General features: G+C 33.8%; 1 protein-coding gene across 5 annotated transcripts in view; it reads left to right on the forward strand.

Annotated features, from left to right (window-relative positions):
• DYNC2H1 (dynein cytoplasmic 2 heavy chain 1) overlaps positions 1–14,331 on the forward strand; it is a 370,438-nt gene that overhangs the window by 336,317 nt on the left and 19,790 nt on the right. For all 5 annotated transcript variants that reach the window (NM_001080463.2, NM_001377.3, XM_017018291.2 and 2 more), the window contains 2 exons: positions 9,444–9,553; positions 10,533–10,614. In NM_001080463.2, the coding sequence (NP_001073932.1) occupies positions 9,444–9,553; positions 10,533–10,614 (192 nt within the window). The remainder of the gene's footprint in view (positions 1–9,443; positions 9,554–10,532; positions 10,615–14,331) is intronic.

A 14,331-nucleotide genomic window follows, 5' to 3' on the forward strand; every position in this document is an offset into this window, starting at 1 on the left:
CTGGGTTCACGCCATTCTCCTGCCTCAGCCTCCCTAGCAGCTGGGACTACAGGCGCACACCATCATGCCCGGCTAATTTTTTTGTATTTTTAGTAGAGACGGGGTTTCACCATGTTAGCCAGGATGGTCTCAATCTCCTGACCTCGTGATCCGCCCGCCTCGGCCTTCCAAACTGCTGGAATTACAGGTGTGAGCCACCGTGCGCGGCCCTTGATTTCAAAGTTTTGTCCTAAGCAGTTGGTTAAGTGGTTTAGTGAGTTGAAGGATACTGACAATATGGTAATAGAGCAGAGTTTTGTTGTTGTTGTTGTTGTTGTTGTTGTTGTTTAGGGAGGAGGGGAGTGGTCTTGCAAATTAAAAGTTCTAATTTGAACATGATAAGTTTAGATGTCTTTTAGACATCTTGGTGGAAATGTCAGAGAAGTAATTGATGAGAAAGCTACTGGAATTGGAAATAGAAAATTAGCAATTATCAGCATATCAACATAGTGTTTAAAACCATAGGAATGGCCAAGTATCTGGCACTGGTGCACTTCAATATTGAGATGTTTAGAAAAGGAAAAGTTGTCCATCATTAAAACCAAGAAATAGTAGTTAGGTATATAGAAGAAAGCCTGGGAGGCTGTAGTGATCAAGAAGCCAAGAGAATAAAGTGTTCTTAAAGGTCAGAATTATCAACTATGTCAAATGCTGTAAGTGAGGTTAGAGAAAAATCATGTTTGGCAACATGGAAGACGTTGGTGATCTTGAGGAGATGTTTTGTGAAGTTCTAAAGAATGAAAGCCTGGTCATATGAGTTTAAAAAAGAATAAGGGGTGAAGTTGAGACAGCAAATATAGACAGTTTTTTCAGGGAGTTGTGTTATGAAGTAACACAGATGAATAGAGTGAGACTGACAGGGAGAAGAGCCAAAGGAATTTTTTTGGTTTGGTTTTGTTTTTTAATATAGGGGATTTTTGACCATATCTGTGTTCACTATAAATTTTTAAATTGATGGTACAAGAAAAAGGAAATGATTTTAGGAGTAAAGTTCTTAAAAAGGCAAGAGGAAATAGGGCCCAATGCACATGTGGAAAGATAGGCCTTAAATAGGAGCTTGAACTATTCACAAAATAAGTTATAGTTATAAATTATTATTAATAATTAAGAGGAGACCTATAAGTAGGTGGACATTATAAATTCCTGTTTTGCCACACTAAAAATTAAATACTGTGCCAAAAAGTAATTTTTAATAATCTTGTTTCCCATAGTGGTTCAGGTTCTGCATGAACACCATCAGGGTTTTTAGCCCATGTAACTCAACTCATTTCTCTATTTAGAAAAGTCAGGGAAATGGTAAATAAAAAACAAAGAATGAAATTGTATTACCTGAGATTTCCTCCACAAGGTGATAAAAATATATCACAAAGTTCTACTGAAAAATGGTACTTTTTTATATCAAATATTGAGCCTAGAAACCCAGGTTTATAAGTTTAATTTAAAAAATACCAAATCTATGGATGGAAACTCCAGTACTCTAATAGGTGGCTATATTAAGGATGGGGAAGAGTAAGATTTCCTTTTTTAACAGTAAGGTAGGGTATATTCTCTTTCTAGACAAGACTATGTCTATTAACTTAATAAAGTTAAACAAGGTAAAAAATCAACCCAGTGGAAATAGAGCTGTGGGGCCTAAAATCTTCCTCAAATCCTTTGTACAGCTTGAGACTTTTCAGTACGCTACACAATGTGGGAAACCATTAACATAACCCAGTCAAAAAGTGGTTACGATTTTAAAAGTTAGAGTCATTGACTTCAATTTACAGACTTGGAAGAAGCAAGCCTTCCAAGTATCCATCATGCCATTACCACATTCATCAAATTCATAGAAGTTACTTTGTCCCAGAATCTGCATCCATCACTAGACAGCATGGCTAAACTTTGTTCTATTTGAGAGGTTTATTATAACTAAGTTTTTTAAGGCATTGGAAATGTGTAACATGCTTTAAATTTTATAAGCACTTGGGTTTACTACTAATGTTTTGTTTCTTGTGGGTATCTCATTAATTCGGGTAAAGTTGTTTTGTTTCTTCTCTGTTTTGTTAATTCAAGATTTGAGTTTTGGGGTTTTTTAATGTTTTGTCCAATATTTTTACCAGATATTGTTGACATCCAAATAATAACCAACAAGGTAGGACCCAAAATACTAGGATTTTTTTTATGTTATTTGCAACTCTCTGATAAATATTGAAAGAAAAAGGCTTAGTCTTTTAAGATACCTAAGACATAATTATAAAGGATGATTAACAAGTGGCAGGTCACTTTTAGCATTTGAAAATTCTTCAGAAATTTTTTCCACCTTATTGGATGCAGGTTCTATGCTTACTATGCCAAGGATTAAAGGGGGAAGAAAATAATAACTTTCGGTAGAAAAATTAGGATATTACGTTTAAGGATAATAGTAAGCAAATCGGGGGAGGTTGGGGAGGAGCTTACTACATTATCTACAGTGCTTTTTACTGGAATGAATGTGGGTGATCATGTGTGTGTATGTTCTTCCACAATACTGTTTAACAACATCATGTTCTGTGTATAAATTAGTGTGTGGAGAGATTTCCTATTTAACTTAAAACTGTTTCTAAAAAGATACCTCTTCCACAGGAAAATCTTATCCCATTTCTCTGTGGCTCCAGATCTGCTAGTTCTGACATTTATATTCTACAAAATGGTTAGAATCTTCAGGGAAATTTAGAATAAGTAAAGGTTAAAATACCATAAAAACAAAGTCCTAAGTCAAACTATTTCTGTGCCTTAGGAGGGGAAATGCAAATAGTTAAGAAGTGTTATCCAGCCTACAAGGGAACTCAATCCACAGTAGAAGAGGGTAGGGCAGAGAGAGATTTCTTATAGTCAGCTTTCAGCAATATCTTTAAATCTGGAGATAAGAAATGCCAGAAACATCAGAATTTCTTTATAAGTTTATCATGTTAAAGCCCTTCTCAAAGCCAGTACTTACCTGTTTCTTGGTTAAGGTTACTTAAAAACATGAACATGGGGACATGAAAATTTAAGTTTCTTAGAAGTTTTACTTTGAAAAACTCTCAGAAAAGCAACACAATGAAGTCATTACTTTAGGAAAATGTTAGCCAAATTCCAGGTATAAAACTATAGGTATTGATTTAAATTGATCAAAGATTCTTTTTTTTCCTTTGTTTCTTAATTCCTACTAGTAGCATGTAGAGCTGTAGATATAAAGGTAAAATATTTAAAAATTTGTTGTGTTAAAACTGGTAGAAATAGGAAAGACGTTTCTGATATGGTGGCATGTGAACAGAGACCTAAAGGAGGTAAGGGAATAGCCTATACAGGTAAATGTCTGGTAGAAGAGAGTTTCAGGCAGAGGGAACAGCAAGTGCCATGGCCTGAGGCAAAAAGGGTTTTTTGAGAAAGGGCGGCAAGTGTGCCTGAAGGAAACAAGACAGAAAAAGGTGTCCAGAGAAGTCAGAAGTTAGGTAGTGAGGGGCAATGGGTTTAGAATTCAGGCAGGAACAGACAATGCAGGCGTTGTCTGCTATCAAAAGGACACTGACTTCTGTGAGTGAGATGGGATAACTCTGGGCAACTTTTGAAGACTAGACTGTATGCAGGAAGGAAGGCCAACAGTTAGGATTTATATTTGTGCTTGCCTTTGGATCTTCAAAATATCTTCCTCAAATTATTTTTAACACATGTATTAATTGTATTTAACTATTCATGGAAGCTCAGCAATGCCATCTAGTTTTCAAATTGATCCATTGTTTAAAGAATGAGGTCAAGAATTGTCTTACACTCAACCACGTAATCAATAAGCCAAGAGTGTTATTCATACCAAGTCACACATTGAACTTTATATTAATCAAATCTTCTCTATACATGTGGTAATTATTAAGTTTAGAAATTATTCATTTTCATTATTATTCTTAATTAGAATATTGTTTAATTAAAAAATAATGATCTTACTGAAAGCATGTTAGAGCCATAATTTTACTCATTGAATTCCATTTTGCTCAGCCTAAAACACTGAAATGTTTACCTACAAAATATGGCAATTTATAAGCTAATTTTCTTCTACCTAATACATATAATTAGGTAGCATTTTTACAAATTGATAGGTATTTTAAAGTCACCAATTAAAAGGCAAAACTTGTCAGATTGGATAAAACAAGACCCAACTATGATGGCCATAAGGCATCATGGCATTGCACTTTAAATATAAATACACAAATAAGTTAAAAGGAAAATGATAGAAAAAGATGTATCATGCTAACACTAGCCAAAAGAAAGCTGGTGTAGCTATATTAAATATTGAGCAAAATAGGTGTCCCAGCAAAGTTACTAACCAGAGATAACAAAGATTATTTTATAATGATACAGAGATCAAGTCATCAAAAGAACATAACAAAACCAAACTTTTACACACCTAATAACAGAGTTTGAAAATAAATGAAGCAAAACACTGAGAACTGCAAAGAGAAATAGATAAATCCAGAATTAAAGTTGGAGATTTCAACATACGCCTCTCAGTAACTGAAAGGATAAATAGATAGCAGATCAGTAAAGATATAAAAGACTTGAGTAACACTATTAGCCAGATTAATATTTATAGAACATTAACAAAAGCAGAATGCGCATTCAAGTGCGCACAGGGTGTTTACAGTGGTAGGTCACATTCTGTGCCATACAGCTAGTCTAAATAAATCTAACAGAATTCAAACCACACAAAGTATGCTTTCTCACCACAATGGAATTAAGTTAGAAACCGGTAACAAAGATTTATTGAAAATCCTAAAATATTTGGAAATAAAATAAATACTTGTAAATAACCCATGGGTCAAAGAAGATATCAAAAATAAAGTTGGAAATTAATTTAATTGAATAAAAATTAAAACACAATACATTAAAATGTGGACATGGCACATTGAGAAGAATGATCGCTTAAATTACTTATTTGCATTAAACACTTTTGCCAAGGAACACAGTGCATTAAAACAAAGTAAAATGGCATCAGTTTATAAATAACATTGTCTTTTACATTATAGAATTGCAATTATATGTGAATGAAGATATTCATTAATAGGCTATAGGCTAGACAGACCCACTGGAATATTTTGATATTTTCCCCATATTTTTCTATGTATTTAAATAATGTTTTTATATAATTAGGTTCATACTGTGTATACATTTTTGCATTCTGATAAATACGTTAGGTCCTAAACAGTTTCCAATGATATTAAATATGTTTCCAATACCAGTTATTGGCTGTGTAATTTTGTAGTGATATGCCATAATTTAATCAGCTAATTTCCTAAACATTTTCCAATTATATTAGATATTTTTCCAATACCAGTTTTTATTGGCTGTGTAATTTTGTAGTGATATATAGAGATAGGTTTTTAGCCCAACAGAATAGCAGGAGAAATGTAGTGCTATGCCATAATTTAATCAGCTAATTTCTAATTATGCTTCTAATTTGTTATAATTTTGAATGAGCAAGCCATGTATAATAATGTCTTCATTATTCCCTTAATTTGCATTCCAAGAAATGAATCACTGAGTAAAAGGGCTTTTTTTTTTTTTTTTTTTTTTTTTTTGAGATGGAGTCTTGCTCTATCACCAGGCTGGAGTGCAGTGGCACAATCTCGGCTCACTGCAACCTCCGCCTCCCAGGTTCAAGCGATTCTCCTGCCTCAGTCTCCCAAGTAGCTGGGGCTACAGGCGCGTGCCACCACGCCTGGCTAATTTTTGTATTTTTAGTAGAGACGGGGTTTTGCCATGTTGGCCAGGATGGTCTCGATCTCTTGACCTCACGATCCCCAAACCTCAGCTTCCCAAAGTGCTGGGATTACAGGCATGAGCCACGGTGCCCAGCCAAGGCTTGTATATTTTTAAAGCCTTGACACATTTTATCACATTGTTTTATCACAGTGTACCAGTATATACTCCTACCAAAATTTTGTCCATGTTGCAACCCTTAGCAACATTTAATCGTTATCATTTCTCCTGCTATTCTGTTGGGCTAAAAACCTATCTCAGTTTTACATAACTTTTGAAGATGATATCTTGTTTCTATAATTATGTAAACAATTTGCCACTTTGTTAATGTTATTAACTCATTTTCATATTTGTGGTAAATGTGTTTTTCCAATTTAGTTTTAATGGTATATATATAGATATAAAATCTTGTATAATATAGCCTATATTTCTTTTATCTTTTTAATGAAAGTCCACCATTCTGTAATCAGATGTATAATCTCACCCCTTTTTTTCCTCATGTGAATTTTTTTCCTCCATTATGGAATAAAATTTTACTCTGAATGGTAAGTAGCACAGTTTTAGGTTAGAATGTGAACTGAAGATTGAATTTTTTTCCAAAACAATAGTTTTTCCCCAGCATAATTGATTGAATAATGTTTTTATTCCTCAGTGACCTTATAATAGGTTAAATTCTAACATTTTTACTTGATTATGATCAGAGGCTCAGTTTCTTCCTGGTGTGTGGATACGCATTTCATAAATGTTTGCAAAAACTTTAAAGGAATTTTTCCTCCATAGGGTATCACTGATACATTTGAATCACTTAATTTTTTTTTTTGGATCTCATGCTTTTGGCCCTTTGGGATTTTCATAAAGTTGTTTTCATGCACATTTAATTTTGTCACAATAATTATATAGATTTAATTCTATGTTTAACTGATTTCATTGCTTATAGCCAATAGGATTAGCCTCTGACTTCTATATCCCTAAAAATATTAGTGTTAATTAATATGTAAAAGATATGGAAAACTTTTTTTTTTTAGAAAGAGATACAGACATGTATGTGTTCTGAACTCTCGCCTATGTAAAAATGATACCTGCTTGTATTACAATTTACTGATAAGTTACCTAGATAATATTCTAGGATAGCCTTTTACCTTCAAAATTCTGTATATTTTGGTCCATAAAGGAGTGGAACTCTTATGACATACTATTTATTTCTTACATAGTTTTCCACTTACTATCATTTTTCACAGTTATTTTTGTATGTCTCATCTCCTCTAAATAAGCTGTTTGCATTCAGTAAATGCTTCTGAGTAAATGAATGTAATTTGAATTCGTAAATCCTACTACATAATCAACATTTTAAAAATAAAATATTGCAATATCATATCACTTTTGAAAATCATTTATGTTATAATAATGGAGGTAAACTCGATAATCTTTATCATTCATTCCAGTTTAGAAGTTTTACTGCCTGTGATTCTAAGTGTTTGTGCGTGTATAATATTCAAGAAATTGCCTAGCCCATTTAGCTGTTCAATTCTATTAGCTATTTATTCACTTACTTCCATGTTATATCCGTTATATGCCATTTGAAGAATTATGAGTATATAGTCTCATAGTCATAGAAGGGACTAGAGGTTTTATGTTTAATCTCAAACCTAATCCTTTAAAAGGGGCATAGCCCATAACTTAGAGTGAAGTAAAGAACATTTATGAAAAATATTTGCCAGTTAGTATGCCTACGACTTTGTTCAAAGCCCAATTTATGTGTGCATATTTCTGGTTATTAAAGATAATGCTACTTCTTTATTTTCATGCTTATCAGTATAAATGTGGTTAAGAGAAAAAAATATGCTTATCGTTTCTGCACTGTGACGTTTGCTGTTCAAAGATATTATGCATGCTAAAATAATCTTTGTTATTTATTTATCTCATTAAATAACACATTTGCATTAGTCTACCTTTAAGCTTAATAGCTTAACAAGTTATTTTTTCCATAGATTAATAACATTTTTACTAAAAGAGCTTTCCCTTCTTGACAAATTATATTATTCAAACAAGTGAAAATCTGATTATCAGCCATGTTAGTTTAGACATATATATATATATATATATATATATACACACATTCATTACTGGCAACAACTCTTCAGGACATTTGAATTCAAAATTAATTTTACAGCATTAATGAAATAGTAGTATAGTTGGAAATACTTATTAAATGACTGTTTTAAAATAACTGTTATAAAATAACAGGAATAAATATTAACTATAATAAAGATACAGTTAAGTATAATTTGTTGATTATGTTTAGCTAGCGAAAGAAATTAGCAGATAATTTAATAAAAATTATTTGATAGGGAATAAATATGCTATGTATAATATTATTTAATTGAAAATACTTTATGAAGCGCTATCATTGTAAAGGATATAGCCAAGAGAAATAATTATGCTTCGCTAAGAAGATCTTTTAAAAGTCTTTTCTGTTTATACAAAACATATTATTCATTGGTAGAGGAACATAGGAACATTTCTGAGTACTATTCAAATGCATTAAGATGTTAATGCAAACACAGCTTTAGAGATTTTAATTTCTTCTATTCTAGACCTGGCTAAGAGATGTAAATGCTTGGGTAAATAATAGGGTGTTACAGTACATGAAACACATCCTTTCTATGACAGTAATAAATTAAATGAACACATATTTTTCTAGGCTGTTTATAAATCATGCAAAATGAATTACTGAGTAAATGAGGATTCTGTACGTTTTTAATCGCTGACATTACTATAGTACCATCTCTGTGCACCAGCTGAACTAATAGCTTACTGATGATTTCTGAATCAGTCTATCTCTTAAAGGATATTATCACCTGCAGGAAATATTACAGAGAAACAAGTCACTTAAAACTACCTGAGTTTAATAACTTCCTGGTTCCAGCAGCTTATTTGACCTTGAGCAAGACCCTTAACCTCACTGGGCCTCCACTTCCTCATTTGTAAAGTGGGGATACTAATACTAACTTGCAGGGTCATGGTAAGTGTAAATTTGGTTAATACATGGAAAGCATATAGTAAGTGTTACACAGACTTTCTGTTGTTTTTGTTATCTGTTCCAAATGGCAATTTTTAAAAAATGCTTATGAAATATACTTTATATTGATATGTATTTCTCCAAATGGAATATGAGTTGATTATTTAAAAACACCTTTTAACACAAAATTATTTCTTCTTGGACATTGCCCTCCACTGTTGTAAGATGGCATATTCACCATCAAATCTGGAACTGGAACCCTTATTCAGTTCACATTGCCAAGAGAACTTTTTAGTTAGGCCTGGATGCTCAGTATTTCGTCAGCACACTACAAGTGCTGGCCCAAAATGGGGTGCTGTACATTAGGTTAATTTTCACCTTTTGGACTTTTTATTTTGAGCAGATTTTTACCAACAAACAATTGTGCAAGGAATCGTATTTAAGATGGATGGATATTATGCCAAATTGCAATGCCAGACTTTACAATGTAAAATGGAAATGTTATATATATATTTTCTAGCTACCATTTCAGAGCATTTGGAAGCTGAATTACTTTCTTATTGAAAATGACTTAAGTCTTTAATTGACTTATAAGTGTGTGTGTATTTATATGTTCATATTTCCCCCCCTCTAGAACTGGGTAGATAAAGCTGAAAAACAGGCTCTTCTCTCTGAAACACTTGACCTATCAGAACTTTTCCATCCAGACACATTTCTTAATGCTCTTCGCCAGGAAACTGCAAGGTAATTAAAATGAAATACTTTACCTATTTGTCCCTGACGGTAATTAGTTTTGCTTTATTGACTTCCTATTACACTGCCCTTGATTGTCAAGAAATAAATTTATTATTGAAACACAGTTATGTTATTTTCTTATTCTCTACTTTAAATCATACAGTTAACCTTTAGCTTAAAAAGCATTGCTTTTAATGATGATATGTTTTATTCAAATTTAAAAAGATAAAATGTAACTTTTATAATTTTGATCATTTATCTATACCTGTGCTGTCCACTATGGTAGCCAGAAGTCACATGGACCTATGTAAATGAATTAAAGTAAAAATCAGATTTGAAATTCAGTTTTTCAGTAACTCTAACCACATTTAAAGTGCTCAATATCCACATGGCTTGTGGCTACCATTTTGGACTGCATGAAAATATTTTTATCTTCGCAGAAAATTCTGCTGGACAGTGCTGACTAGGCTCCTTGGTGGAGAACAGGACTTGATGATTAAGATCAAGCTCCTTTTCTTACCACACTCAGATTATCATATCATATATAATTTTTAACAAGTTGGAATGTAATAAAAGGGACATTACTAAAAATATCCTCAACAAAATTTAGTTGTTTAGTAACTCTCAGGGGTATTTCAATTTGTATTGCTTCAGGCTATTATAAACATCAAATTTCAGTTCAGCTAATAAACATTTATTGAACACCCATCGTGTGCCTGCATTTGAGGGTCATGGTCAAAACAGGATTTAAAAATGAAAAAAAGAAAGGCCTTATCCTTAAGGAACTTACAGCATCAAAGAGGAGACTGACAGTTAGCTTTGAAAATTTAGTGTGAACTCTGACATATTATGCATAGTTTAATGGTATTATTATTTACACATGGTAAATATTTTAATTTTAAATAAATAGGACTATATCTTCAGTTACTCTTCATATTTTAATTCCTAAGGATTATTGATTTGTGACTTTGATGCTTTACCTTTACAGGGCAGTGGGTCGTTCTGTGGATAGCCTTAAATTTGTAGCCTCATGGAAAGGTCGACTGCAAGAAGCAAAGCTACAAATTAAGGTACTAGACTAATTTTAGATCTTGGAATCTCAGCCTTATCACCAACTGATATAAGAGATTCTGAAATTTTGATCTCAAAGTGACCTATCTTTATAGTGTAAGATCAGTAGAGTTAGATTGTATTATCTATGTGAAAAATCAAAATAAGATTTGGCATGAAACAACTTGTAATAGAAAATACAGACTCTTCTTATGCAAACATAAGAATCTTGGGGATACAATATTTGAAAGTGTAACTTTTAGCACAAATTTATACAAACCATGCAGTTCTTTTACCTTACCTGTTCTAAAATTGAACCTAATATTTACTGTACAATAAACTACATACAGGTTGAGCATCCAAACATCCCTAATCCAAAAATCCAAAACACCCCCAAATCTGAACCTTTTTGATTGCCAATGTGATACCACGTATTGTCGTATTTTGGTCCACATGGGTGGCCAAGATAGTGACACCTTTGCTTTCTGATGGTTCAGTGTGCGCAAACATTGTTTCATGCACAAAATTCTTTAAAATATTATATAAAATTACCTTTGGGGTATATGTATAAAATGTATATGAAACATAAGTGAATTTGGTGTTTAGACTTGGGTCCCATCCCCAAGATAGTTCATTTGTGTATGTGCAAATAGTCATGCACTGCATAACGATGTTTGTCAATGACAGGTTGCACATACTACAGTGGTTCCATAAAATTATAATGAAGCTGAAAAATTCATATTGCCCGGTGACGTCTTTTGTTCATTGTAACATTTTGGTGCACACATTAGTCCTGTGTTTGCAGTGATGCTAGTGTAAACAAATCTGCGCTGCCAGTTATATAAAAGTAAAGCACATATAATTATGTATAGTACATAATACTTGATAACCGTTCATGCTTTATGTATTTACTATATAATACCTTTTATCATTATTTTAGAGTGTACTCCTTCTAATTATATTCTTCAAAAAGTTAACTGTAAGACAGCCTCAGGCAGGTCCTTCAGGAGGTATACAAGAAGAAGGCATTGTAACCATAGGAGATGACAGCTTCACGCCTGTTACTGCCCCTAAAGACCTTCCAGTGCTGTAAGATGTGAAGGTGGAAGACTGATAATAATGATCCTGACCCTGTGGGAGGCCTAGGCTAATGTGTGCATCTGTGTCTTCATTTTTAACAAAAAAGTTTAAATAGTAAAAATTAAAATAAATTTTAAAAAGAAAAAACTTAAAAAATAATGATATAAAACTATTTTTATACTTTTTGACTCTTATAAATAACACTTAGCTTAAAACATAAACACATTGTACAGATACGCAAAAAATCAAAAGTATAAAGTAAAAAGTGTTTATGTTTAAAACACCTGGGTTCAAGTGATCCTTCTGCCTTGGCCTCCCAGAGTGCTAGGATTACAGGCATGAGCTATTGCACTTGGCCTGACTATAGTTCTTTAATGCAGTTAACTTTATGCAACTAGCTTTTCAGAAATTCCATTCATATAGTTCTAGTTTCCTGCTCAAAACACTTTTTACTTTATACTTTTAATTTTTTTAACTTTTTGACTTTTATAAATAACACTTAGCTTAAAACATAAACACGAGATGTGTAAAAAATTAAAAGTATAAAATAAAAAGTTACAGTAAGCTAAGGTTAATTATTGAAGAAAATTATTTTTAACAAATTATTGAAGCCTAAGTGTACAGTGTTTATAAAGTCTACAGTAATATATAGTAGTGTCCTAGGCCTTCACATCATTCACCACTTATTCACTGACTCACCCAGAGCAACTTGCATTCTTTCAAACTCCATTCATGGTAAGTGCCCTGAACAGGTATAGGATTTTTTTTATCTTTTATACTCTCTTTACTGTATATTTTCTATGCATAGATACACTTACCATGTGTTCCAGTTGCCTACAGTATTCAGCACAATTACATGCTGTACAGATTTGTTTCCTAGGAGCAATAGGCTATAGCATCTAGCCTAGGTATGTAGTAGGCTATACCATCTAGGTTTGTTTAAGTACACTCTCATGTTCACACAGTGATGAAGTCACCTAATGATGCATTTCTCAGAATGTATTCCCATCATTAAGTGATGTATGACTGTATTCCAAAATTCAAAAAAAAATTCAAAATCAAAAACACTTTGTTCCCGAGCATTTCAGATAAGGGATACTCAACCTGTATATAGTATATAAAAATTAGTATATAAAAAATCTTGTCCTCAGGGAGTTTATAATTTGTGAGTACATTAGTTAACAGTTTAAAAAAAAAGCCACTTATGATGATCTATTTCTTTCGTAGTACAAATTTTTCTTAGCTCTTTTTCCTGTTAAAAATCCATTATTTTTACAATAACAGGTAATCATTCAAACATTAACAAAAATAATTTAAAAGTCTGTGATGGAAACTTTTTCCCCAGCAACCCCAACCTTTTTTTGTATCACTAGCCCCTCTTACACTATCATTCCTTGCCATTCCTCTTTCCCATTTCTTTACATAGAATTGCCCTCTTAACATTTTTTTCCAGTTAAAAACTTCAAGCTGGTCTCAAACTTCTGGGCTCAAGCAATCCACCTTCCTCGGCCTCCCAAAGCGACCAGATTACAGGCGTGAGCCATTGCATATGGCCTGGCTATAGTTCTTTAATGCAGTTAACTTTATACAACTAACTTATTAGAAATTCCAGGCCGGGCGCGGTGGCTCACGCCTGTAATCCCAGCACTTTGGGAGGCCGAGGCGGGCGGATCACGAGGTCAGGAGATCGAGACCATCCCGGCTAAAACGGTGAAACCCCGTCTCTACTAAAAATACAAAAAATTAGCCGGGCGTAGTGGCGGGCGCCTGTAGTCCCAGCTACTTGGGAGGCTGAGGCAGGAGAATGGCGTGAACCCGGGAGGCGGAGCTTGCAGTGAGCCGAGATCCCGCCACTGCACTCCAGCCTGGGCGACAGAGCGAGACTCCGTCTCAAAAAAAAAAAAAAAAAAAAAAAAAGGAAATTCCATTCATATAGTTCATTTCCTGCTCAAAAAATTTGTTTTCGTATTACTACTATTTTCTAACATACTGTCATTTATTTATATTTGTTGTCTTATTCTAGTAGAATGTAAGTCCCGCAAGAGTAGTAACAATAGCCGTTACATAATAAGCATTCGATCAAACCCTTTCTGAAGGGTTGAGCGCCTATAATAGGAGAGGCACTGTAGTAGGTGTTCCTAGCATCGGCTACAATGGTATAGTGTGCCAGAAATTTGATCATTACCAACAAGCTAGATCTTTCCCTTTTGGCTCTATAGACTGCCATAAAATTCTCACTTAAAGCTGAAGGAGTGGCCGGGCGCGGTGGCTCACGCCTGTAATCCCAGCACTTTGGGAGGCCGAGGCGGGTGGATCATGAGGTCAGGAGATCGAGACCATCCTGGCTAACAAGGTGAAACCCCGTCTCTACTAAAAATACAAAAAATTAGCCGGGCGCGGTGGCGGGCGCCTGTAGTCCCAGCTACTCGGGAGGCTGAGGCAGGAGAATGGCGTGAACCCGGGAAGCGGAGCTTGCAGTGAGCCGAGATTGCGCCACTGCAGTCCGCAGTCCGGCCTGGGCGACAGAGCGAGACTCCGTCTCAAAAAAAAAAGAAAAAAAAAAAAAAGCTGAAGGACTTAGAAAAGTTTTCTTTCATTTAATTTTGTCGTTTTGTTTTGTTGAGATGGGGTTTTGCTATGTGGCCCAGGGTGAATTT

This window comes from Homo sapiens, chromosome 11 (assembly GCF_000001405.40).
Source record: "Homo sapiens chromosome 11, GRCh38.p14 Primary Assembly".
NCBI lineage: Eukaryota > Metazoa > Chordata > Mammalia > Primates > Hominidae > Homo > Homo sapiens.